The 23,907-nt window shown below is 40.8% G+C and overlaps 1 protein-coding gene across 11 annotated transcripts in view, besides 1 other annotated feature; it reads left to right on the top strand.

The window, feature by feature from the left end:
* Positions 12,269 to 12,847: an enhancer, noted in NCBI's record as "H3K4me1 hESC enhancer chr3:12328552-12329130 (GRCh37/hg19 assembly coordinates)". NCBI's record gives its function as "activates a minimal SCP1, AML or CMV promoter by ChIP-STARR-seq in primed H9 embryonic stem cells {active_cell/tissue: H9 hESC(primed)}" and the evidence as "EXISTENCE:reporter gene assay evidence [ECO:0000049][PMID:30033119]".
* The window catches only part of PPARG (peroxisome proliferator activated receptor gamma), a 146,977-nt gene continuing 135,653 nt past the window's right edge, over positions 12,584 to 23,907 (top strand). For 5 of the 11 annotated variants that reach the window (NM_001374262.3, NM_138711.6, NM_001330615.4 and 2 more), the window contains exon 1: positions 14,286 to 14,350. The gene's annotated coding sequence lies outside the window, so the exon portion shown is untranslated. Of the gene's footprint in view, positions 12,892 to 13,089; positions 13,237 to 14,275; positions 14,351 to 23,907 lie in introns of those variants that run through there. The other 6 variants (NM_138712.5, NM_005037.7, NM_001374261.3 and 3 more) reach the window with 4 other exon arrangements.

Genomic DNA, 23,907 nt, shown 5'->3' on the forward strand with positions numbered 1-23,907 from the left:
TTTTTGTGACAGGGTCTTGCTCTGTCACCAGGCTGGAGTGCAGTTACTTGATCTCGGCTCACTGCAACCTCCGCCTCCTGGGTTCAAGCGATTCTCCTGCCTCAGCCTGCCGAGTAGCTGGGACTATAGGCACGCGTCACCATGCCCAGCTAATTTTTGTATTTTTAGTAGAAACGGGGTTTCACCATGTTGGCCAGGATGGTCTCGATCTCTTGACCTCATGATCCACCTGCCTCGGCCTCCCAAAGTACTGGGGTATCAGGTGTGAGCCACTGCACCCAGCCTATATCACATTTTTTACATCAGATAGTTTCCCTTCTAGAATGCCAATTGAATAAAGGGCCTATTAAATTCTGTGGTTATTAGACAGTGTCTAATCTTTAGGCACCACAAATTAACAAGATTGTTCTTTATGCATTGATCCATTTATAAATATTCACTGAGTACCTACCATGTATCAGGCACACAAGCACTTTGTATGTAAAGTGCTGGGATTTGAGGAGTTCTTCCTGTTTGGAATAGAGTGGTATTTTAAACATAATAGTAATTCAATAAATGTGTGTTGAGTCACTGATTAAATTTAGTATAGAAAATACTATTATTTGAGCTCTTTTGAAATCTATACAAGAATGCTGTCAGAAAAAGTTGCATTGTTAGAACCAGTAAGTATCAGGAAATCCCCTTTGTAGTGGTGGCACTTTAGTGATATCAACCATAAAAACATATTCAGGGATCATAAGGTAAAGTTGAACAATATGCTGAATCCTCTTAAAACACAAAAAGCAAAATTAAAGGGACTATAGAACACACACTTAAACTAAAAATGTACTTTTTAACATTAACCGGATAATTTCCAACCCAATTTACTAAGAGAGTGCCAAACGGTGTTCCATTCTGGAAAATAATCCATTATAGTATATTCATTATAGTATGAGAGTAAAATGAAGTGTTTGACTTCTAATTCAAGAGAGTAGACCTGAAGAAGTATATGTATTTACCAGCTCTCCAAAAATAGTCCCAAAACTCCATTAAAATGATCATCTTAAATGATCACTTGGCCTGGTGAGGTGGCCCATTCCTGTAATCCCAGCACTTTGGGAGGCCCAGGAGAGAGGATCACTTGAGGCCAGGAGTTTAAGACCAGCCTGGGCAACATAGCAAGACACACTATCTACATTTTTTTTTAATCAGCTGGGCATGGTGGCACGCATCTGTAGTCCCAGTTACTCAGGAGGCTGAGGCAGGAGGATCACTTGAGTCTGGAAGTTTGAGGTTGCAGTGAGCTGTGTACTCCAGTCTGGGCAACAAAGAGAAACCCTGAGAAAGAAAAAGAAGAAAGAAAGAGAGAGAGAAAGAAAGAAGGAAAGAAAGGAAAGAAAGAAAGAGAGAGAGAGAGAAAGGGAAGGAAAGAAAAACAGAGAAAGAGACAAAGAGGGAGGGAGGAAGGGAGGAAAGGAAGGGAGGAAGGAAGGAAGGGAGGAAGGGAGGAAAGTGTTTTGAAAAAGATCAAAGCCACTGCTAGGTTATAGGCGATTTTTTAATGAATTAGGCAAAGATATCCCTTCTTTCAGGTAGGATGAACACACTGCTAGGATTTCAGCCCCGCTTCATCCACTTGGCTGGCTACCTTCCAGCAGAGTTAAACTGCACATCAATATGCTGCAGCCCTGGAATAACAGAATGACAAAACAGGGTAGGTGGGTGGAAAGGGGAAGCTAAAAACATGCTAGTTCTTATTTAGTAAAGGGAGGATAGAAATAATCATTTTTTGTCAGTATCATTAAAAACATTTTTTAAATTGAGACATAATTAACATCACATAAAATTACCCTTTAAAATGTATAATTCAATGGGCTTTGGTATATTTAATAAAGTTGTGGCTGGGCGCGGTCCCTCACTCATGTAATCCCAGCACTTTGGGAGGCCGAGGCGGGTGGATCACTTCAGGTCAGGAGTTTGAGACCAGCTTGGCCAACATGGAGAAACCCCGTCTCTACTACAAAATACAAAATTAGCCAGGCATGGTGGCGGGAGCCTGTAATCCCAGTTACTCGGGAAGCTGAGGCAGGAGAACTGCTTGAACCCAGGAAGCAGAGGTTGCGGTGAGCCGAGATTGCGCCATTGCACTCCAGCCTGGGTAACAAGAGCAAAACTCCATCTCAAAAAAAGAAAAAAAAAAACAAAAGTTGTGTAATCATCACCACTCTCTAATTCCAAAACACTTCACCCCAAAAAGAAACTGCATCCGTTATCAGTCATTCCCTGTGTTCTCCTCTCTCCCACTCCTGGCAACCACTAATCTATTTTCTGCCTCTATGGATTTGCCCATACCAGACATTTCATACAAAAGGGACCATACAGTTTTTGGCCAGTGCCTGGCTTCTTTCACTTAGTGTAATTTTTTGTTTGTTTGTTTTGAGATGGAGTCTCAGTCTGTCACCCAGGCTGGAATGCAGTGGTGCGATCTCGGCTCACTGCAACCTCTGCCTCTTGGGTTCAAGCAATTCTCCTGACTCACCCTCCCAAGTAGCTGGGATTATAGGCACCCGCCACCACGCCTGGCTAATTTTTTGTATTTTTAGTAGAGACGGGGTTTCACGACATGGGCCAGGCTGGTCTTGAACTCCTGACCTCATGACCCGCCAGCCTCGGCCTCCAAAAGTGTTGGGATTACAGGCGTGAGCCACCGCCCAACCCACCTAGTGTAATGTTTTTGAGGCTCATCCATGTGGTAGATGTATCAGTACTTCACTCCTTTTCTTTGTCTGAGTAACATTCCATTGGCTATGTAGACCACATTTTCTGTATCCAGTGTGGCATATACATTGGATACACACAATGTTGATGGACATTTGGGTTGTTTCCACTTTGGGGCTATTATGAATAATGCTGCTACAAACATTTGCATACAAGTGGCTTGACCTTTACAAGAAACTTATATTCTGTAATTTTTAAAGTAGTTTTAAAGAAAAGAAAAAAGTTGTTGTTTTCATAAAAGGCTAAGTGTGTAATTTCTTTTTCTTTTTTTTAGTTTTGTTTTTCCCCTTTTGTAATTTCTTTTTCTTTTTTTTTTAGTTTTGTTTTTCCCCTGATTCAAATATCCTTTCATTATTTAGTTGTACTGACTTGAGTTGCCCATATATTAAATCGTTAATAATCTTGTGGCTTATAAATATGTCTTATGCAACATTGCCTCCTTTAAGCATGCTATGTGACAGATTTTTTAAAAGTTTTTGGAAATGTATGGAGATACTTGGATTACATTACTGAAGAATCACAGTGATAACTGTGTTTTATAGAGCCATAGTAAACAATGCCTTAAAGGCTAACAGTTTACTTTCAATCATTAATAAATTATACAAATAATCTAGACTACTGCAGTTCCATTTGGTGGAAGAACAGTTAAAAAGGTCAATCAAATTTATCTTTTTAAAACTAGGAAGAGTTAACTTCTTACTACTATAGAAATAATTTTTAAATAAAAACTGCATACTAAGGTGTGCAGAAATTGATCTGAAAGAAATTTACGTACTGCACTTTTACTAAGAGAATAAATGAATGTTATAGATTAAAATCAGAAAAATACTTTGAGAAGGAAAAAAGTGTCCATGTTATGGTGGTAGGAAGAGATGCCGCCAAAACACAATGTCAGTAAACCAAATATCACTCTTCAGTGAAGCCCTCACACCTCCTTAACTCCCTCTTCTACCTCCTCTTACTATTGTACAAAAGTGTCTAAACTTTTAAATGCAATTCATGACTATCTACCAGATACCCAAACATTTAAAAATCCAGCAGAAATGCAAAACAGAGCTCTGCCAATGCCAAAGCGTCACCCCCAGAGAGGGGCTCCAACCGAAGACCAGAAAGAGAGCTCTCCTGAAGGCCCTGGGAGCAAGAAGTCTGCGGGCAGCTTGGCTCACATCCTTACCCTCAGGCATTTAAGAAATAGGCACAGGGAAAGGGAAGTTATATTACTGAACAATCATAGTGGGAACAGCCTATCTGAAATCACTCTGTTAGGAAGCCTTGGTCTTGAGCCTTCTCAGTCCTCAGACTTGGCTCAAAATATAAATTATGTGTCAACAGTAGGTATTCAATGTATCAAGAGCCAAACTGGCACATGGGTCCAAATGTTCAAAACAGTTTTTTGTTTATAAAAACAGAAAAGCCTGTGGCTACCTAAGTAATGCAAAAATCAGCAGCTGGGGACTTAACTAAGGGAATATTAATCAATGTTATAGGCATATAAAAATGTAAATACAACCTCTCTTTTTTTTTTTTTTTTTTTTTTGAGATGGAGTCTCGCTCTTGTTGCCCAGGCTGGAGTGCAATGGCACGATCTCCGCTCACCATAACCTCCGCCTCCTGGGTTCAAGTGATTCTCCTGCCTCAGCCTCCTCAGTAGCTGGGATTACAGGCATGCACCACCTTGCCTGGCTAATTTTTTGTATTTTTAGTAGAGACGAGGTTTCTCTATGTTGGTCAGGCTGGTCTTGAACTCCCACCTCAGGTGATCTGCCCGCCTTGGCCTCCCAAAGTGCTGGGATTACAGGCGTGAGCCACCACGCCTGGCCTCTTATTTTTATTTATTTATTTAAATTTTTTTAGACGGAGTCTGCCTCTGTCACCCAGGCTGGAGTGCAGTGGCACAATCTCGGCTCACTGCAACCCCGCCTTTCAGGTTCAAGTGATTCTTGTGCCTCAGCCTCACCCTCCGGAGTAGCTGGGACTACAGCCTCAGCCTCAGCCTCAGCCTCCCAAGTAGCTAGGACTACTGTATCTCAGCCTCCCGAGTAGCTGGGACTACAAGTGCACGCCACCACGCACAGCTAATTTTTGTATGTTTAGTAAAGACGAGGTTTCACCATTTTGGCCAGGCTGGTCTTGAACTCCTGACCTCAAGTGATATGCCTGCCTCCTCCTCCCAAAGTGCTAGAATTTACAGGTGTGGGCCACCACGCTCAACTGAAAATACAACTTGTAATGGTGACTGAATTGATGACATCACCATTATTTCAATAATACAGATTCATTGAGAGCTGTTCGCTAGGTGCTAGTCACTTGCCATGCGCTAGGTGCTGAGGTTACAATAGTGAATTTAAAAATCCCTGCCTTCTTGGAGTTACCCTCTAGTGTGGGAAGGCAGACGATGTACAAGTAAAAGTTAAACAAATATATAATTTCAGGCAATGATAACTCATATGACAAAAAATAAAGCTGTTAAGAGTATGAAGAATGACAGTGATGGAAGGCTCTTAGGGGGCAACATTTGAATTATTTCCTTAAGAGTAGGTTTGGATTTACAAGCTAGTCACTCGGCAATCAATCATTCAACAAACATTGATTGTCCGCTTATTTGATTTCAGGTGCTGTAGTACAGTGAGTCCTGGGCATAAAAAGATTAATCAACCGTGGCTTCTGCTGTCAGGGCATTTACATCTTAGTAAGGGAAGATAGACATTTCCACAGCAATCTATACTGACATATAACAAGTGTTAGAGCAGTGCAGAAGCACAGATGAACAAAGTGACTTCCCAGTAAGGTCTTCCGGAAGGTATTCCGAAGAGAGAAACGCAGCAGAAGTGGAAGATGAGGGCCACATGTTGCTTCCCAATGTATAAACAAAAAGGGGTCAAGAAAGGTGCAAGAAAGTGACTGCCCCCCAGGGATCTGCCAACCCAAGCCCCACCCAGTTATCCCAAAGCTTAGGGGACCCAGCTCTGCTGTAATCTGTTCTTGGCACAGACACGCTTTTTGTTGTTTGTTTTTTTTCAGTAACTGAAACTACCCTGTCTTTCCCCAGGTCTAGATTCCTTGAGCATTTCTTAGCCCGAGCATGCTTGTGTCCTTAGGTCTTCCGGAAGCTGTAGCGTGCACACAAGTCCTCTCGGCAATTAACACACTTTACAATTCGACCATGATAGACGTCAAGGGTTGAAAATATTTCAGTAGAGAAACTTTTCTGATAAATCCAAACTCTCCCAGAGCAAATTATTCTGACCAACGTTTAAACAGAAGACTTATAAAAACAACATTTAACAGAGTTTGAAGGTTTTATGATGAAATGCATTGTCTGGGATTTCCTTCAGAAATGTAGAGCAGGGAGGGATGTGGGTGAGGGTACAGATGAAACAAGATTGCCCAGGGCGTGACATTGGGTTAGGGTACGTGGGGGGTTCATTAGACTATTCTGCCTACTTTTATATAGTCTAGTGTTTTCCATAATAAAAAGTTTTTGGTTTTGTGTTTAGTTTTATAAGACAAAGCAGAATCTATAAATTCACACAAGTGTCCTGAGAAGACCATGTTCATGCAGAAATCTCAGATTCATAGCTATTTCAAAGTCTACCCACTAGACTCATGACTTTTTTTTCACATGCAAAAAAGAGAGTAGAATGTCCATGTAGACTGATAACTAAAGAGGAAACATATATTTTTAAAGATTTTAACATCCAAACTGTGTTTTAATATTAATGAGTGACTATTTCAGATTAGTGAGTGACTAGCAGTAAAAGTATTCTCAATGCTTTCATCCAGATGGTAAATAACATTTATTGAGTTCCTACTGGGAGCCTGATTTGGTAATTCCTCCTGTTATCTCACTGATGAGATTAAGAGAATATATATGTGTATATTCTTTGTTTTCTAATAATATATATATTCCTATTTTAGAGACCCTGTCTCTAAAATATATATAGACATACACAAACATCTGTGAATATATATAAATATATATAAAAATATGTGTGCGTGTGTGTGTGTATATATGTGTGTGTGTGTGTGTGTGTGTGTGTGTGTGTGTGTGTGTATGTATATTTTAGAGACAGGGTCTTGCTGCATCGCCCAGGCTGGAGTACAGTGGCACCATCACAGCTCACTGTAGCCTCAAAGTCCTGGCCTGAGAATATATTATATTGCCATTTTACAGATGAGGAAACTAAGCCTCAGAGAGGTTGAATCTCTTGTTCAAAGTCACAACCAGCAGAAATAAAGCCCGGGGTTCTTTCCTTTACACCAGTACTTGATTAAAACAGAATTTCTTTCTTCAGAAAGGAGAAGACAACTAGAAAGCAGGACTTGCCCCTCCAAGAAAATCATGAGTTCCCATCATCCTAACTTCTACTCAGTCGGCTTCCTACCTCTTGATACTTAGAGGATAAACTGATACCCAAAGTAGGTCCATTTTTAGGGGGAAAAGTGGAGAAAAAATGAGAAAGCAGGACAAATGGCTCTTTTTTTATTCCCTGAAAACCAAAAGCACTTTTGAACCTTTCAAATGTGTCTTAAACCATTAAAATCTTAAAATGTAAATAGTCTAACTCAAAACTGTTGAAATTACCAAGTGAAATCTCTCTGAAATTAAATGTCATTATTAATTTCATAGGCGTTTCCAAACTATAAAAAATAAAATAAAATGTTTTCAAAAATAGATGAGTAAAAAAAAAAGGAGTTATTTCATTCAGTGCTTTTAAAAGGGTGTTATTATATTTCTTTCCATTTTAAAAAATTACCTAGAGGAAAGCTCCACGTTGGTGTATCAAGAGAAAAATTACTAATTTGGCTATATTCTCCATGGTTTTTTTTCTTTTCTTTCTTTCTTTTTTTTTTTTTTTTTTTTTTTTTTGGTGCTATCGCACCTCTGTCCCCCAGGCTGGAGTGCAGTGGTGCGATCTTGGCTCACAGCAACTTCCCAGGTTCAAGTGATTCTCCTGCTTCAGCCTCCCAAATAGCTGGGATTACAGGCACACACCACCACACCCAGCTAATTTTTGTATTTTTAGTAGAGAGATGGGGTTTCACCATGTTGGCCAGACTGTTCACAAACTCCTGACCTCAAGTGATCCGGCCACCTTGGCCTAGTGCTGGGATTATAGGCGTGAGCCACTGCGCCTGGCCTCTCAGTGGGTTTTTCGAACCAATACATAGCTATATTATATTCTTGACTTGAATATAATCAAGATTAATATTTCCATTAAAATGTCCCAGAAATTTTTATTTATTTATAGGCAACCATTCAAAATAGAAATAGAATGCTGAGTGAAGCAGAGGGATACAGTATATGAGAAGATCAAGCAATTTTAAGTTAGAAGAAAAGGCTGTAAATCTGGCTTTGGTCCTTAAGACCTTGTAAGAGATGAGCAAGTTATTTTGTGAAGGGCAACATCGGAGGAGGCAGAATAAACAGAGGAGGAGAAAAGGACCTTAATGAAATTCAAAGTAAAATTGGGAGGTTGTGGGTAAAATTTCATAACTAGACATAAAAATCACAAGTGGGAACATGTCAGAGTCATTCAAAAAGTAGATACATTTGTGGAAGTGTGTGTGTGTGCATATGTGTATGTTTAACCTGCCTGGCATGTTCAACTGGTTATGATTTTTGAAATTTTAAATTAAGATCTTCTAAACCTCCTGGGAATTTATAAGGCTTAGAGATTGATAAATGGTGTCTCAGATAAAGAGAAGGAGCAAATGTCAGCGCTATGATGATACACAGCTGCTATAAATGAGTGGCTTGATTGCTTGACTTCAAATACAGCACACTAACTTTCCTAAACTCAGTCTGCAAAATGGTTTACATGTCACTATTCTCAATGCCCAGTTTTGCCGAACACTCGGATGATAATGAAAAAGTTTTGCTACAATTTTAAATTTTTCCTTTAAGAAGTAGCATAACACTACTATAAAATATCTGAGGTCTGTCCAGTGAGACCAGTTTAAATATAGCTGGAGTAAAATGGAAAACAATTCAGTTATGGTAAACTTCTATTTCTAGACTTGCACTCTCTTCTTAATATAATAAACATAGTATGTAATTATAAACCTGGGAACAAAGTCCTCTTTATTGAAAGAAAAGCAAATATGTATGCAAATCTCAAATGAGATAATCAACTAAGCATTAATTGCAAAAAAAAAAAAAAAAAAAGAAGTCCCATGGGACCATGGGACCATGGGACCAAACACCAATATTTGGAAGGAGTCCTTGTGGTTTGGAAAAATTGAAACGGGCATAGTCTTTCGTCTCTAGGAACCCCATATGGATGGCACTGCCTATGTGCAAAGTTGCAGGGTGGGGACCATGTGCTGTTTATCATTTTATTCCCCGCACTTAGCAGAGGGCCTGGCACAAAATAAGCACTCAATAAAATGTTTGTGGAAAGAAAGAATTCTACAGCTATAGTTTATACAGTGTTTTTCCAACTTTAAAAGATATGGCCCACAGTAAAAACCACATTTTATACCAACTCCTGGTACACTCAGATACACACACACATGCATTACACAAAAGTTACGAAGCAGCACTTTCTTTAATACAGTAGGCATGTTCTGATTATTTCTGTCCTTTTTGCTTGACTAAAAAATACTGATTATGACTGAATAAATTGATTTCATAACCTACTAAATCAAGCCTTGCAATTTGAAAAACAGACATATTATTTCAGTTTACATTACTTAACCTCTTACATTTATACACTTCACTACCCATAAGTCTCCTTAAAAAAAAAAATCACAAAATTTTTGATCCAGAGGGAATTTAGAAAATATTCAGCTCAACTCTAAAGTTTTGCACCACTTACGAATTCACTGTTGTGGGGTTCCCCTTAGTCACTGTTGTTGAATTATGGGAATTTTCCGACCAAAAAAACAGATTGGCCCCCATCTCACATCATATACAAAATTTAACTCAACATGAATTTAAAACCTAAAGGTAAGAACTAAACCTATAAAACTCTTAAAATAAACATTAGGAGCAAATTTCATGACTTTGGGTTAGTCACTGACACGACACCAAAAGAAAAAACAGGTAAACTGGACTTCATCAAAATTAAAAACTCAAATGACAACATCAAGAAAGTAAAAAGAACCAAGCATGGTGGCATCTGCCTGTAATTCCAGCTATTCAGAAGGCTGAGGCAGGAGGATCACTTGAGCCCTAAAGTTCAAGACCAGCCTAGGCAACATAGCAAGACCTCGTCTTTAAATAAATAAATAAATAATAAATAAATAAATAAATAAATAATTATTTTAAAATGTAAAAAGACAACTTACAGCCTGGAATAATATATTGGCAAATCATGTATCTGATAAGAGACTCGGATATAGACTATATAAATAAATAACTCTCACAACTCAACAATAGAAAGAAAAATAATCCAATTTAAAAACAGGGAAAGGATTTAAGCAGACTTTCTTCAAAAAAGATAAATGGCCAATGAACACATGAAAAGATGCTCAACGGGATAGTCACCAAGGCAATGCAAATCAAAACCATGAGACACCGGCTCGGGCAACATAGTGAGATCCCATCTCTACAAAAGAATACAAAAATTAGCTGGTGTGGTGGCATGCACCTGTTGTCCCAGCCACTTGGGAGGCTGAGGTGGGAGGATTGCTTTAGCCCAGGAATTCGAGGCTGCAGTGAACTATGATTGCACCACTGCACTCCAGCCTGGGTGAGAGAGCAATACCTTGTCTCAAAACAAACAAACAAACAAAACCCCATGAGATATCACTTCATACCCTTTAGGTTGGCTAAAATAAAAAAGACTATAACAAGTGTTGACAAGGATGTGGAAAAACTGGAACCCTGACACATTGCTGGTGGGATTGTAAAATGGTGTGCCCACTTTGGAAAACAGACTGGCAGTTCCTCAAAAACACCGAGTTACCTTATGATCCTGCAGTTCTGTCCCTAGGTATATACTCAAGAGAAATAAAAATATATGTCCACAAGTAACCTTGTACATGAATGCTCACAGCAGCATTATTCATAATAGCCCATAAAAGTAGAAACAACCTAAATATTCATCAATTCATGGGATGAATAAACAAAATGTGGTATATGTGTATAATGGAATATTGACCATAAAAAGGAATGAAATATTAATATAAGCTATAACATGGATGAGCCTCACAAATACTATGCTAAGTGAAAGAAGAAAGTCACAAAGGACTTCATATTCTATGATTCTATTTATATGAATTGTCCAGAATAGGTAAATCTATAGAGAAAGAATATCTCTATCTAGAGTTGGTGGAATGACTGTTAATGGAGAGGGGGTTCCTTTTTGGAGTGATGAAAATGTTCTAAGGGTAGATTTGGTGATGATGGCACAACTCTGTCAATAAACTAAAACTCATTGAACTGTACATTTTATTTATTTATTTTTGAGATGGAGTCTTGCTCTGGGGCTGAAGTGCAGTGGCGCAATCTCGGCTTGTAACCTCTGCCTCCCAGGGTCAAGCGATTCTACTGCCTCAGCCCCCCGAGTAGCTGAGATTACAGGCACGTGCCACCACGCCCAGCTAATTTTTGTATTTCTTAGTAGAGATGGAGTTTCACCATGTTGGCCAGGCTGGTCTTGAACTCCCGGCCTCAAGTGATCCACCTGCCTCGGCCTCCCAAAGTGCTGGGATTACAGGCGTGAGCTGCCATACCCGGCCTGAATTGTACATTTTACTTCTATGGTATTTACATTTTAGATTATATTAATTATTCCTCAATAAAGCTGTGATTTTAAAAAGCAGGCTAGGCGCAGTGGCTGGTGCCTATAATCCCAGCACTTTGGAAAGCTGAGGCAGGAGGATCACTTGAGCCCAGGAGTTTCAGACTAGTCTAGGCAACATGTCAAGACACAGTCTCTACTAAACAATTAAAATTAAAAAAAAAAATTAGCCAGGCATGGTGGTGTGCACCTGTAGTCCCAGCTACTTGGGAGCCTGGGGTGGGAGGATTCCTTGAGCCCGGGAAGTCGAGGCTGAAGTGAGCCGTGATTGCGCCACAGCACTCCAGCCTGGGCGACACAGCAACACCCTGTCTCATGGAAGAAAGAAAGAAAAGAAAGGAAGAAAGAAAAAAAAAAAGCAGATTGGAACTCTGGAATTAACAAGAAGTAGGACGCACGGAGCACTTCCGCCTGAGTGGAGACTGTGGATCCGGGTCAACCTGACTACCTAAATCACAGGCCAATAAATGGTCTTTCAGTGGTCAGTCCCTGTAAGATCCGTGGCTCTCAGCTTCTTATCTTAGGGGCTGTGGAGGAAGGACATGATTATGTTGATTTAAGCGCTGAATATTTTCCCTTGTGATACCCATCCTCGCAAAACTTTGCTTCAACCACAAACGAGGACCTTCTGTACCAGAGGGGCAATAACCACAATGAAGCTAGGAAGAAATGCAGAGCACCCCAGCATACAGTCCATAAGCTTCCTGAAGTGGGGGGCCTCAGGCATCGCTGCCTCCCCAAAGAGGATCAGGCCCAGAACAGTATGCTCCAGAAATAAGACTGGAAAAAGGGAAAGAGGGGCCTCAAGTCCAGGAGACCAGCGGCTTTCTGAACGCGCACCTGCCAACCCACTTTGGACAGGTCACGATGGACAGCGTGGCAGGAAAAGAAAAGGTCACTGTCTACCCAACACATGAGAAACTGTTTCTCGTGCCTCACGTCCCCACTCCGTCCCCACCCATGTTGTCTGAGTCCCTCGGTGTCAGAAACACTGCTAAGAAATTTAAGAAATTCTGTTAATGAGTTTAAGAAATGTTTTTAATGATTAAAAGTCAGTGACTTGTGAATAACCATGTAACTTACAAACGCAAGGAACTCTGAAAGTGTGCAGCACCACCGATCAGAAGAGAAAACCAAGGGACCCGAAATATGCTTTAATTAAATTTTCTTTTAAAATGTCACTGGAAAGAACATCTTGGGAAGACGGCCTGGCCGATCGCCGTGTGAAGGGCAAGCCACTCTGGCCGAGAGGGAGCCCCACACCTCGGTCTCCCCAGACCGGCCCTGGCCGGGGGCATCCCCCTAAACTTCGGATCCCTCCTCGGAAATGGGACCCTCTCTGGGCCGCCTCCCAGCGGTGGTGGCGAGGAGCAAACGACACCAGGTAGCCTGCCGCGGGGCAGAGAGTGGACGCGGGAAAGCCGGTGGCTCCCGCCGTGGGCCCTACTGTGCGCGGGCGGCGGCCGAGCCCGGGCCGCTCCCTCCCAGTCGCGCGCCGCCGCCCCCGCCCCCGCCCCCGCCCCCGCCCCCACCCCCACCCCCACCCCCACCCCCAGCCGGCGCCCGCGCCCGCCCCCGCGCCGGGCCCGGCTCGGCCCGACCCGGCTCCGCCGCGGGCAGGCGGGGCCCAGCGCACTCGGAGCCCGAGCCCGAGCCGCAGCCGCCGCCTGGGGCGCTTGGGTCGGCCTCGAGGACACCGGAGAGGGGCGCCACGCCGCCGTGGCCGCAGGTCAGAGTACGGGTGCCCGCGGCGCTCGGGAACCGGCTGCTGGCTGGGCGGGGAGTGCTCAGGGAGGGGGCGCGGAGGGCTGGGGCCGAGGGTCTGGGGGCTAGGGCCGAGGAAACGGGAACTGACGGGGTCCCAGACGGATGAGAGCTGGGGAGAAGGGGGTCTCGGCTGAGGGGTCCGGGGCTGAGGCAGGGTCATGGTCCGGCAGGACCCGGACTGACGGGTCGCGGGCGGGCGGCTCACGGGTGACCGGGTGAAGGGGTCTTGGGCTGAGGGCACCCGGGCTGAGGGTCGCGTCTACCGGAGCGCGCACTAGGGGCGGAGGGCGCGGGCACAGAGAGCCGCGGCCGGTGCCGACTCGAGTGGACGCGAGCCGGTGCGTCCCGGCTTCCAGGACAGCCCCCCTCGGGAGAGCGCCGGGTGGGCGCGGAGCCGGGGACACGGGGACCTCCGCGTCCCCGGCGGAGGTGCGCAAGCGTCGGGAGCCGCTCCGGGGGAACTTTGGAGCAGGGTGTCTGGACCCGGGGAAGCGAAGATCCGCGTGCGTCCGTCCTGAGGCCGCGCGGCACCCCTGCTGAGGAGGAGGTCCCGTTCGCTGTCCAGAGCCCAGGGGCGACCGCCGCTTGGGGACCGGGGGACCGTTCAGCGAGGGGCGCGCTTGTAGCTGGCCAGGCCCTGTGCCCTGACGCGTTGTGCTGGCCCTACGCCCGGCGGAGGGGCTGGGGACGGGGACTGGGTGCCTCCGTGCCTCCGCGGATGGAGCGCGCAGCCAGGACCCCCAGCCGCACCCCGGGGGGCTGGAAAGGCGAAGTCGCTGCTTTGTGGGCTCCTGCAAGTGCCAGGCGCTGACCACTCCTCCTGGGAGCCTAACTGAGGGGGGTAGAGGCAGCAGAGGTTAACAGAAATCTCAGGTCCCTTGGTGGAAGGTGGGTGTGTAGTCGTGGTACTTTACGCCTCGGTGTTTAGGGAGGAGCCTAAGGTAAGGAGTCAGAAACGGGGAGTAACCGAGCTGCGGCTTTTATATAAGGTCAGTGGTAGGTAAGGAAGGGGCCTTAACCTCTGCTGGTGACCAGAAGCCTGCATTTCTGCATTCTGCTTAATTCCCTTTCCTTAGGTGAGTTGGCTCACTCTCATTGCATTTTGTTGGAATGTGTTGGTGATAGGTCCGAAATTTGCAAAATTATTGTATTATCCTTATATCATTTTTTTTTGCAGTGCTCTTGTTTTATAAGAAGAATCCAATTCACTTGGGTCATAGGCTAACGGTTGTAAAAATAGTGTCATTGTTATAAAAGAAATCAAGTCAAAAATAGTCGTCTGCCATGAAGAAACTAAAATTTTTCTTCTTTTCCTTGCAAGATTAGGGACAAAATGTAAAGTTTATTTGTGTAAATTATCATTTGGATATAAAACCAGACAATGATAAACTGAGTTGTATAATACCTATTCCTGGAAAACCTCTGATTTTGAAGTACATTATTTTAACCCCAACTGTTTCTGTCATTCGTGAGACAAATTGTTAACTGGATTTATTAAGAGAACAATGAATAACTTAACTCTTTAAAAGGACCTGGGCAAATCTTCGACAGGTTTCAGGTATTTTATGGCAGTCTTTCTGTCTATTGCTAAGTGATCGATTGCTGACTGAGAACAGAACCAACTGATGGTGCTAGATGATTTAGAAAACCTTTCTGGTATAGGGACTGGCATGGACATTCACTGTGGCTTTTCTCTTAAAGAAATACCTTTCACTCCTAGGGGAGTTTGACAGAAGACACTCATAGATGCTACCAGTTAGCATTTGGAGTAATATATCAAAACATTCTGTTCAAGTTTTAAAGTAAGTTTTGTGTAGTATATTTTCAATCAGATTCACTTTGGAATCAAATACACTTTATTTGATTCCAAATAAAGTGTATTTGAATATTCACTTTAATATACGAAACTTTAAAGGTAATGTCTCAGCCAAAAAGTGAAGTGTATTACAAAACTGTCCATTTTTGTCTTCTTGTGTACTTCACATAATTTTTCTCCCTGATTTAAATTATATGATATTTGATAGTTAACTTGCTAATAATTATGTCTTAAGAGATCTTTGAATCAACTGGTGGCCATCTCAGTCTTTTAAAACTCACTTGAAGGAAAAGAGAAACACTAATGATGGTTTTTTTTAAAATCAAAAACTTTTTTCATATTTACAAGTTTGTTTCTAGTTCTTAAACAATAACTGCTGTAAAACCATGGCATCAGTGAGGTATAAAGTTTTGTAGAATCCCAGGCTGAAGACTTTTTGGATGTCGTTTTCTCATTTCTTTACATTAAAAAGAATATAATTTCTTTTTAAAATTAAAACTAAAATGTCCACCGGCCTCATATTCTTTATTGAACTTAAGTGCTTTGAAAATATTTTTGCGATTGATATTTTTAATGATAAAATATAATATTTTCTTTGAAGGACTAGTTTCCTAAATGTTCATTTTTTTGTATGTTTCAGAACTACTTTTAAAAAAATTCTAGATTATGCTTTAAATTGCAATATTTCTAAATTCCTATGACATTTAAAATGTGTACAAGAGAAAAGGTGTGACATGAGGAATATGAATTAGAAGTGGATTACTAATGGTCGTAGTGAATTGTTTTTAATCAGTGTTATATAAATATAAACAAATACTTTTTTCTTCTGTAATTTTCTGACAATAAGGATGTTAGCCACTAACCTTAATTATCAAGATAATTATGTGCATGAAAGCTGTGTAAAAGGCACAACCGTGGAACATATACAAGTATTAATAATACATTTCATTTAGTTTTCAGGTTATAAAATCGTTATTAATAACAAGAGGCTTTCATGAAGTAGGAAAATATGTTAAAATGACATTTTCTGAATGTTTCACACATTCTGGCCCACACTTTCACTTCTTTCCTAGCATCTATATATTCCCAATGCATAGGACAGAGTTGGTCATTCTAATTGTGGGTGTCTTTCTGCTGGATTCGTTGTCACTTGGACTTGGAAATACAGTATGTCATTAGGTGTGGCAAATGTACTGGAAGAAGTTTTTGGTCTCATAGGATTCCACTAAATAAATATTAGCTGTAGAGGATTTTTAAAAACTCACTAATAGAGAAAACTTGGTGAAGTCACTAGTGTGTAAGCGTAAACATATGCACCCCCCACAACTGAATTTCTAATTTGCTTATTTTTCCTGGTAGATCTCCACTTTGCTTACTCTCTCTTAATATCCCAAAGCAACAAAAAGCGCAGTGATTTTAATTGCTTACAAAGGTCCTTTGAAACGGATCTAATTTGACTCCACAAAAGAATAGTAAGAGTTGTGAACAACCATCTTGCAAGTGTAGATATCCCCAGCGTATCAACTTCAGTTAGTTTCATAGCGTTCTAAATCAAAAATTTAGATTTAAGATTATTTGAAATCTTCTTGGAAGTTCTTACTTACTGTTTGCGTTTTCTCAAAATACAGAGGTAGATTGGGGGAGTAATATAGTATATGTTTTAAAGCTGTTATTTAACTAAAATGTCATGTTTTAAATTTTATTTAATGCACTTAAAGTAGGTTCTTGGGATAAAATCTATTCAGATGCAATAGGCCATGTTTTGGGGAAAACTTTTGTAGATGTTTAGATAATATCTGTCATCAATAATAGTATATGTTTAAATTATTTTGTAAAAACAGATTTACATATTTTTAAAATTTCTCTTCAACAATAAGTACACATCAATATTTTAATGCCGAGAATTTCATTCAGAGTATGACTGTTTACATTTTCAACTGTTTCAATTATTATGGCTTAGGCAAGTACCTTATCCTTTCTCTCAATTTTGTCATCTTTGAAACGGAGAAAGTGTTGCAGTTATTATTGCTTGCTCTTTTGCTATGATTTTAAGGCTTTATGAGCAAACCCATGTACTTTAAATGATGTGACCATGACCCTGAATTTAATTGAGCTGATATTCTGAAAAGAACCTTCATGAATATCTATGTCATAGCTAACTCTTTTACCAATGTTAATAGTTCACTGTAGTTCAAACCTCAATAACTTTGAGATTGTTAAGATTGAAGATGATGCTTCTCATGTGGTGATCAATTTATAAACTGTTTCTGGGAATATTTTATTATCATTCAATTTAAAATTGTATTTTCCATTCCCTGATGACTTTGGACAAAAATCAGCATAGTAATTATTTTTATTCCAGCTTTGCGAGTCCTGTGTAGCCCCTCTTATGTTAATATTATACATCCGATGCATCTAGAAGGCACAGATTGTGCGCTTTGATTTGATAAAGCTCTAGTCTTTGCATATCTTTATGGCACACCTTGTGAATTCTTAACGTATATTCCCCAGGAGCAAGTTCGTTTTATAATGAGGCCTAGGATCCATCAGATCAGAAGACAGTTTAGTGTCACAACTTAAAAGACTAAATAGTGACTTGTGCTTGTCATTAAAAATGGGTCTCTTTCAACAAGCACTCACCAAAAAATAGTGTTTTAGTGGCTTGAAAGGTTCAGATATCTCCTAATAACCCACCTATTTGCTAGTAGGGAGTAAGTGGAAAAACATATAATTAACTGTGCACCATCCAAATAATAAATTTTAAATTCTTCGCGTGAATTGTTGATACATATTGTTGTGAAGTGTCTCCTGCTTAAGAAAGTAAGGGACTTGGACTGAATATGCCAAAGAGGAGGCCTCTGCAAGCGGTGTCTTGGTGATGGGAAGTTACTGGTAACAGCACACGGGGTGATGGGGTGAAGAGGCTTGTGTGCGTGGGCCCCGGGGGCTGAGGATTGTTGGAGAGGACTTCTCCCACCTTCTCTGGGCCCCAAACTGCACACTGGACTGGCAAGCCACTCTGCCCACTGCAGTGTGGAGCTATAAAGCCCAAGTAGGGACTTCACTAAAAGGATGCAGAGGCGAAGGCAAAGAAAGGCTCATGCTGGTGCGTGTAGGTGGGCTGAGTGTCCCTGTCCGGGAGTGGGGAGCCGTGTTATCTTCCACTGCCTTAATCCTACAGCGTAGGCTTTCTCAGAGTCATTGCCATACCTTCAACTGTTCCAGTGGCCAGGCTGTTCTCAACTTGAAAATCTTTTGTGGGACAGTGCCATGAATTTTTTTTCCTACTGCGATTTTTTAGATATAAAGGAATTGAATCCATTAAGTGGAGATTTTAAACCCTCCAGTCAGGATTTAAACTAGATTGTGTAAGTTCAGTTCAGTTGGATTCAATATCTGTTTAGGAAGCATTTTTATTCCACTTCATTGATTTTAGAAAATAAATTCATTGCTTGGTTTTAACTATGTCACTATTAAAAAAAAACCACTTTAATTTGTGGACTCATCTGGGAGGATTATGTGTGGATATGACATATTGAGTCAGATTATCTGACCTTCTGAGAAGAGTTCAGATTAGCAAAAACGTGGGGTGAGAAGTCCTTCGCAGTTTGCCACAGGTAAGGAGAAGGTAGATATGAGGGAGGTAGAGAAATAGGGAAATACCCTGAGTAGGAATGTACCAGGTCTGTATATGCTCAACTCCCACAGTCAGCAGGTTGCATGATTACTGTGTATAGTCTTAAAATATAAGGTTGATTTCTAAGAATTTACCCTGCTTCTTGGTGACATTGTAGGACATCTCAGTTTGCCACTTAGCACTGTTATTCTTTCTGGCTCTATACTAAAGGAGATAATTTGGGCAAGGGAATGGAAAGAGGTTACTTTTTCATCCTGTATGTTTAAGGAATAAATTTTCCTTCATATCGAGGGCAGTGGAGAAATATAACTGTCAAACTGTTCGAGTGCAATGATGAAGTTCCGGAAGGAACTTCCTAACCTTGACCACACCCCTCTGGCTGTCATACACCTCTTAAAATGTCTTTGAATTTGAATGTCTTTGAATTGAAATTTAAAATGTCTTTGAATTTGAAAGCTTTGGGTCTACTTTTAAAATGCCAAAGTTCCTGGCAGGGTTAGTTCACTAAACCACTATCAGCAAAAATGTGAAAGGCTAGTTGCTTGTTTCCTTGCTACCTGAAAACAAGGCCTTTAAGGAGTAGAAAACAGATTTGGAGTTTGAAAGAGGGGGTTAGGAGAGGGAAAAATAAAGTTAATGCATGTCCCAGTTTCCTCATAAGCCAGAAACTTTGAAACAAAATAGGAAAATAACCATTTGGAATAGCAGTGATAGGAAAAGATATATTTACCCATCATTTTTTTTCTCTTAGTCAAGACAAGTCGCAGATCTTCCTTGAACCATTTTTGACCTCAAAACAGTTATTCTGAAACATCAATTAAACTAAGAAATGTAATCACAGTTCAAGTTATGAGCTAGTATTATCTTAATGTAATTAAATATCTGAATATTATCACTTCATTATATCTTGTATTTCCTCTGTGATGTTAGACAAATTATGTGGTCTCTTCATGAGTCAACTCTTCCAGGCTTTAAAAGTAGCTTCCTAATAGATTGAAATGAGAGGAACTTTTCAATCACTTCAGAAAATGATGTGCCAAGGTAGTATAAATAATGCTTAATCCTTTGGCAGATCCACAGATCATAAAATATCATACATGCGGCCAGTCGCAGTGGCTCACGCCTGTAATCCCAGCACTTTGGGAGACAGAGGCAGAAGGATCACCTGAGGTCAGGAGTTTGAGACCAACCTAACCAACATGGAGAAACCCCACCTCTACTAAAAATACAAATTAGCTCGGCATGGTGGCACGTGCCTTTAATCCCAGCTACTCAGGTGGCTGAGGCAGGAGAATCGGTTGAACCCGGGAGGCAGAGGTTGCAGTGAGCCGAGATCACGCTATTGCACTCCAGCCTGGGCAACAAGAGTGAAACTCTGTCTCGAAATAATAATAATTATTATTATACATACTTAATTTTATTTTTGCTGAAAATAGTATGGCAAGCCAGTGCATCTCTGTTAGAAATAGAAACTTAGTAGCCACCTCAAAAGCAAGGTCATAATTCTGTGAATCAGCTAATAGGTGGTATTTAGCAGTTAGGTATGGGCTACCCTCGTGCCTCATGACTAATCACATTGCTTACTCGTCATGCATTTTTTACAAAGTCTTGCTAAAGTCTGTGAATCTAAAACAGAGAATCTCAAAGTGTTCCTTACTGAATGTTATCCTTTCCGTCAGTTGATAATTACCTGTGTAAACAAGCTTTTGACTGCATCTAGAAAAGCACCTATATAAATTCTTCTGTTTTATATGGTGGATAAAGTTTATAAAGGAGAACAAACATAAGAATGATGTCAATATAAATGAAGTAGAAACTTCAAAAATCATTTGCATATGTCAAGTATAATCCAGAAGAGTGAAGAAAATACCCAGGCATTTGGCAATATAGGATTACTACATGTTTTCCTAAAGAATTTGGAACTGATTAGAAACATCCTGATTTTATTTAAAAGCAATATAATGTATTTTTACAGTTTGTTTTCAAGAAGGTTCAAAAAAAAATTTTTTTTTTTTTTTTGAGATGGAGTTTCGCTCTTGTTGCCCAGGTTGGAGTGCAATGGCGCCATCTTGGCTCACTGCAACCTCCGCCTCCCAGGTTCAAGTGATTCTCCTGCCTCAGCCTCCCGAGTAGCTGGGATTACAGGCGCCCACCACCACACCTGGCTAATTTTTTGCATTTTTATTAGAGACGGGGTTTCACCATGTTGGCCAGTCTGGTCTCGAACTCCTGACCTCAGGAGATCCACCTGCCTCGGCCTCCCAAAGTGCTGGGATTATAGGTGTGAGCCACCGTGCCTGGCAAAGAAGGCTCAAATTTGGTGACTTTTAGGACTAGAGCAGTTTGATGTCTGCAAAAATCTAGACACCAATTTCTTGAAGGCAGGTACTGACTGAATTCTATTCCAGCATATAGCACAATTCTTAGTAGGCACTTAAATGTTTTAGAAAGAAGAAAGAGCTGGTCATGGTGGCACACACCTGTAATCCCAGCACTTTGGGCAGCTGAGGTAGGCAGATCACTTGAGGCCAGGAGTTTGAGACCAGCCTGGCCAACGTGGCAGAACCCCGTCTCTACAATAAATACAAAAATTAACTGGGCGTGGTGGCACACACCTGTAATCCCAGCTACTCGGGTGACTGAGACAGGAGAATCACTTGAACCCGGTAGGTGGAGGTTGCAGTGAGCCGAGAAGATTGTGCCACTGCACTCTAGCCTGGGCAACAGAGCAACACTTTGTCTCAAAAAAAAAAAAAAAAAAAAAAAAAGAATAAAGAATTAGTCTAAGGCAGTGGTTCTTAAAATGTGGTCCTGGGATCGTGAGCATCCTCTGGCAGCTTGTTAGAAATGCAGTTTCTTGGACCTCATCCCAGACCTGTGGTGGGCCTAGCAATCTGTGTTTTAGGGACTCTGCTTTATACGCTGTTTGGGAACTCTTGGTCCAAGATGATTCTTGCACCCCACCTGATAGAGTGGGGCCCATTTGTCAGTGTGCTTTGGATGATTTCTAGTAAGCCTTACCCTTGCTTATGGTTAAGTTCTTTGCCCTATCTCTCTCCACTCATAGGATCTCTTGGAACCATCCTATAAAACTACCCCCATTGACCTATCATTTATTACTTAGAAAAGCTCAGTAGTGGTGTCAATAAGCTTTTGTCAAGAGGCTAGCCGGCTCACTAATTAGACCTTGCAACACTGGTTCTTTTTAGCTTAGCATGGCTGCTTAGGAATCCCTAGTCTCCGCGTCAAAGACTACAACTTCAAAGACTGGATTTTATAAAATCACAGAAGATGATCGGCCCTAGAGGACTGGTTCATGTTAAACAGATTTACAAGATATGGATTTGTAAACCTCAATTCCAGTTTAATAATAGTAGAAAATATTCCCTTCCTAGTGATTGTTGATAATAGTTTTTTTTATTTTAAAATTCTATAATTTCAAGGATTGAAGAGATTTACACTCATATATATCTGATGTCACTAAGATTTAGTTCAGGTTACTTAGAAAGCATTGGGCAATGTTTTGTAACTTTTGGGACTTTTTCCAAAGGGCTGGAGAATATAGGAAAAGCCGTATACACGAAGAGTTTCATAAAAGCATTGTTATAAGAACCCATATTTGGAAGTAACTTAAATATCCAACAGTAGGGAGATGTTTAAATAAATTATGGTATAATCAATAGTTAAAATATTGTACAGTTATAATGACAATTTAGAAACTACTCACAACTCTGAAGAATATTTAAAAAGTAGGATAAAAAATGTGTGTGAACTATTGATTGGAACCTTACAAAAATGTATGTATATGAAAAAGTCTGGAAGAGAATATACAAAAGTGATAATAGTTATGTTACAGTAGTGAGATATGGAGGGCTTTTTGTTTGTTTTTATATTTTTCTCTCTTTCCCAAAGTTTATTCAGTAGTATAAAATTACTTCTATAATCAAAAGCATACATTTATAGCTTTTTTTTCTTTTTGGTGTGTCTGTGCTTCTGATAGTAAAGATCAAGGCAATATATGATTTTTTTCCTATTATACCCAAAATTTATTTTATACTAAATTTTATTTCACATATTGGACTTCCCTGTACATTTTACTTGCCTAGTCTCTATTTGGCATGGGGAAAGAAACCCATCTCTGTTATGGCCTCTTAATGTTCTCAGCCATACGTAAGGTTTAATTTTGTTGATTTGTTTGGGTCCGTGATCTACTTGATCTTTAGCATATGCTGGCAAATAGAGCTTTTAAAAAATAGTTTCCAGAGTTACTTTCTTTTAAAGCCCTTCTCTCTTTATTTTTTTCTAATTTTTTTCTATTATGTTCCTTTTTTTCTAAAATTGAATGACCTCATGATAGAGTTACCCAGTTTTCCTGCTGCTGACAGAATGTTGCACTTATAAATAGCAGCTGATGCAGATGCACAGAAAGGTAAATTTCTGTTACAAATGTTCATTATGAGCCCTTCATATAATTTGTGATAATAATTTTAAAAATAAAAAGAAATGGGCCGGGCGCGGTGGCTCACGCCTGTAATCCCAGCACTTTGGGAGGCCGAGGCGGGCGGATCACGAGGTCAGGAGATCGAGACCATCCCGGCTAAAACGGTGAAACCCCGTCTCTACTAAAAATACAAAAAATTAGCCGGGCGTAGTGGCGGGCGCCTGTAGTCCCAGCTACTTGGGAGGCTGAGGCAGGAGAATGGCGTGAACCCGGGAGGCAGAGCTTGCAGTGAGCCGAGATCCCGCCACTGCACTCCAGCCTGGGCGACAGAGCGAGACTCTGTCTCAAAAAAAAAAAAAAAAAAAAAAAAAAAAAGAAATGTAAAATAGCAAGCGAGTAGAGGTTTCCCAAAATCAGTGTGAACATTGTGAAAGTTATATATATGTATAGACACACACACACACACACACACAGTAATAGCCTTTGAATGAATTCTTTTTTCATCTTTTCTGTTGCATTGTCCTAGAAATCCCAAAGGAGAAAGTTAAGTGGTTTTGCCTTTGACAGCGGTTACAGATTACATTTTTCTTGTCACTTTCTTTGGGACTTCTTTTGTGAAACTTGTGGCATGTCCTAGAATAATCTTTATCTTAAAGTTTTAAAAACTTTTTAGAAATTTCATATCAGTGTTATAAATATTTATTCTGTATGCCTCCCCAGTTTGGGATGATTTCATCCT

This window comes from Homo sapiens, chromosome 3 (genome assembly GCF_000001405.40).
Source record: "Homo sapiens chromosome 3, GRCh38.p14 Primary Assembly".
Taxonomy (NCBI): Eukaryota; Metazoa; Chordata; class Mammalia; order Primates; family Hominidae; genus Homo; species Homo sapiens.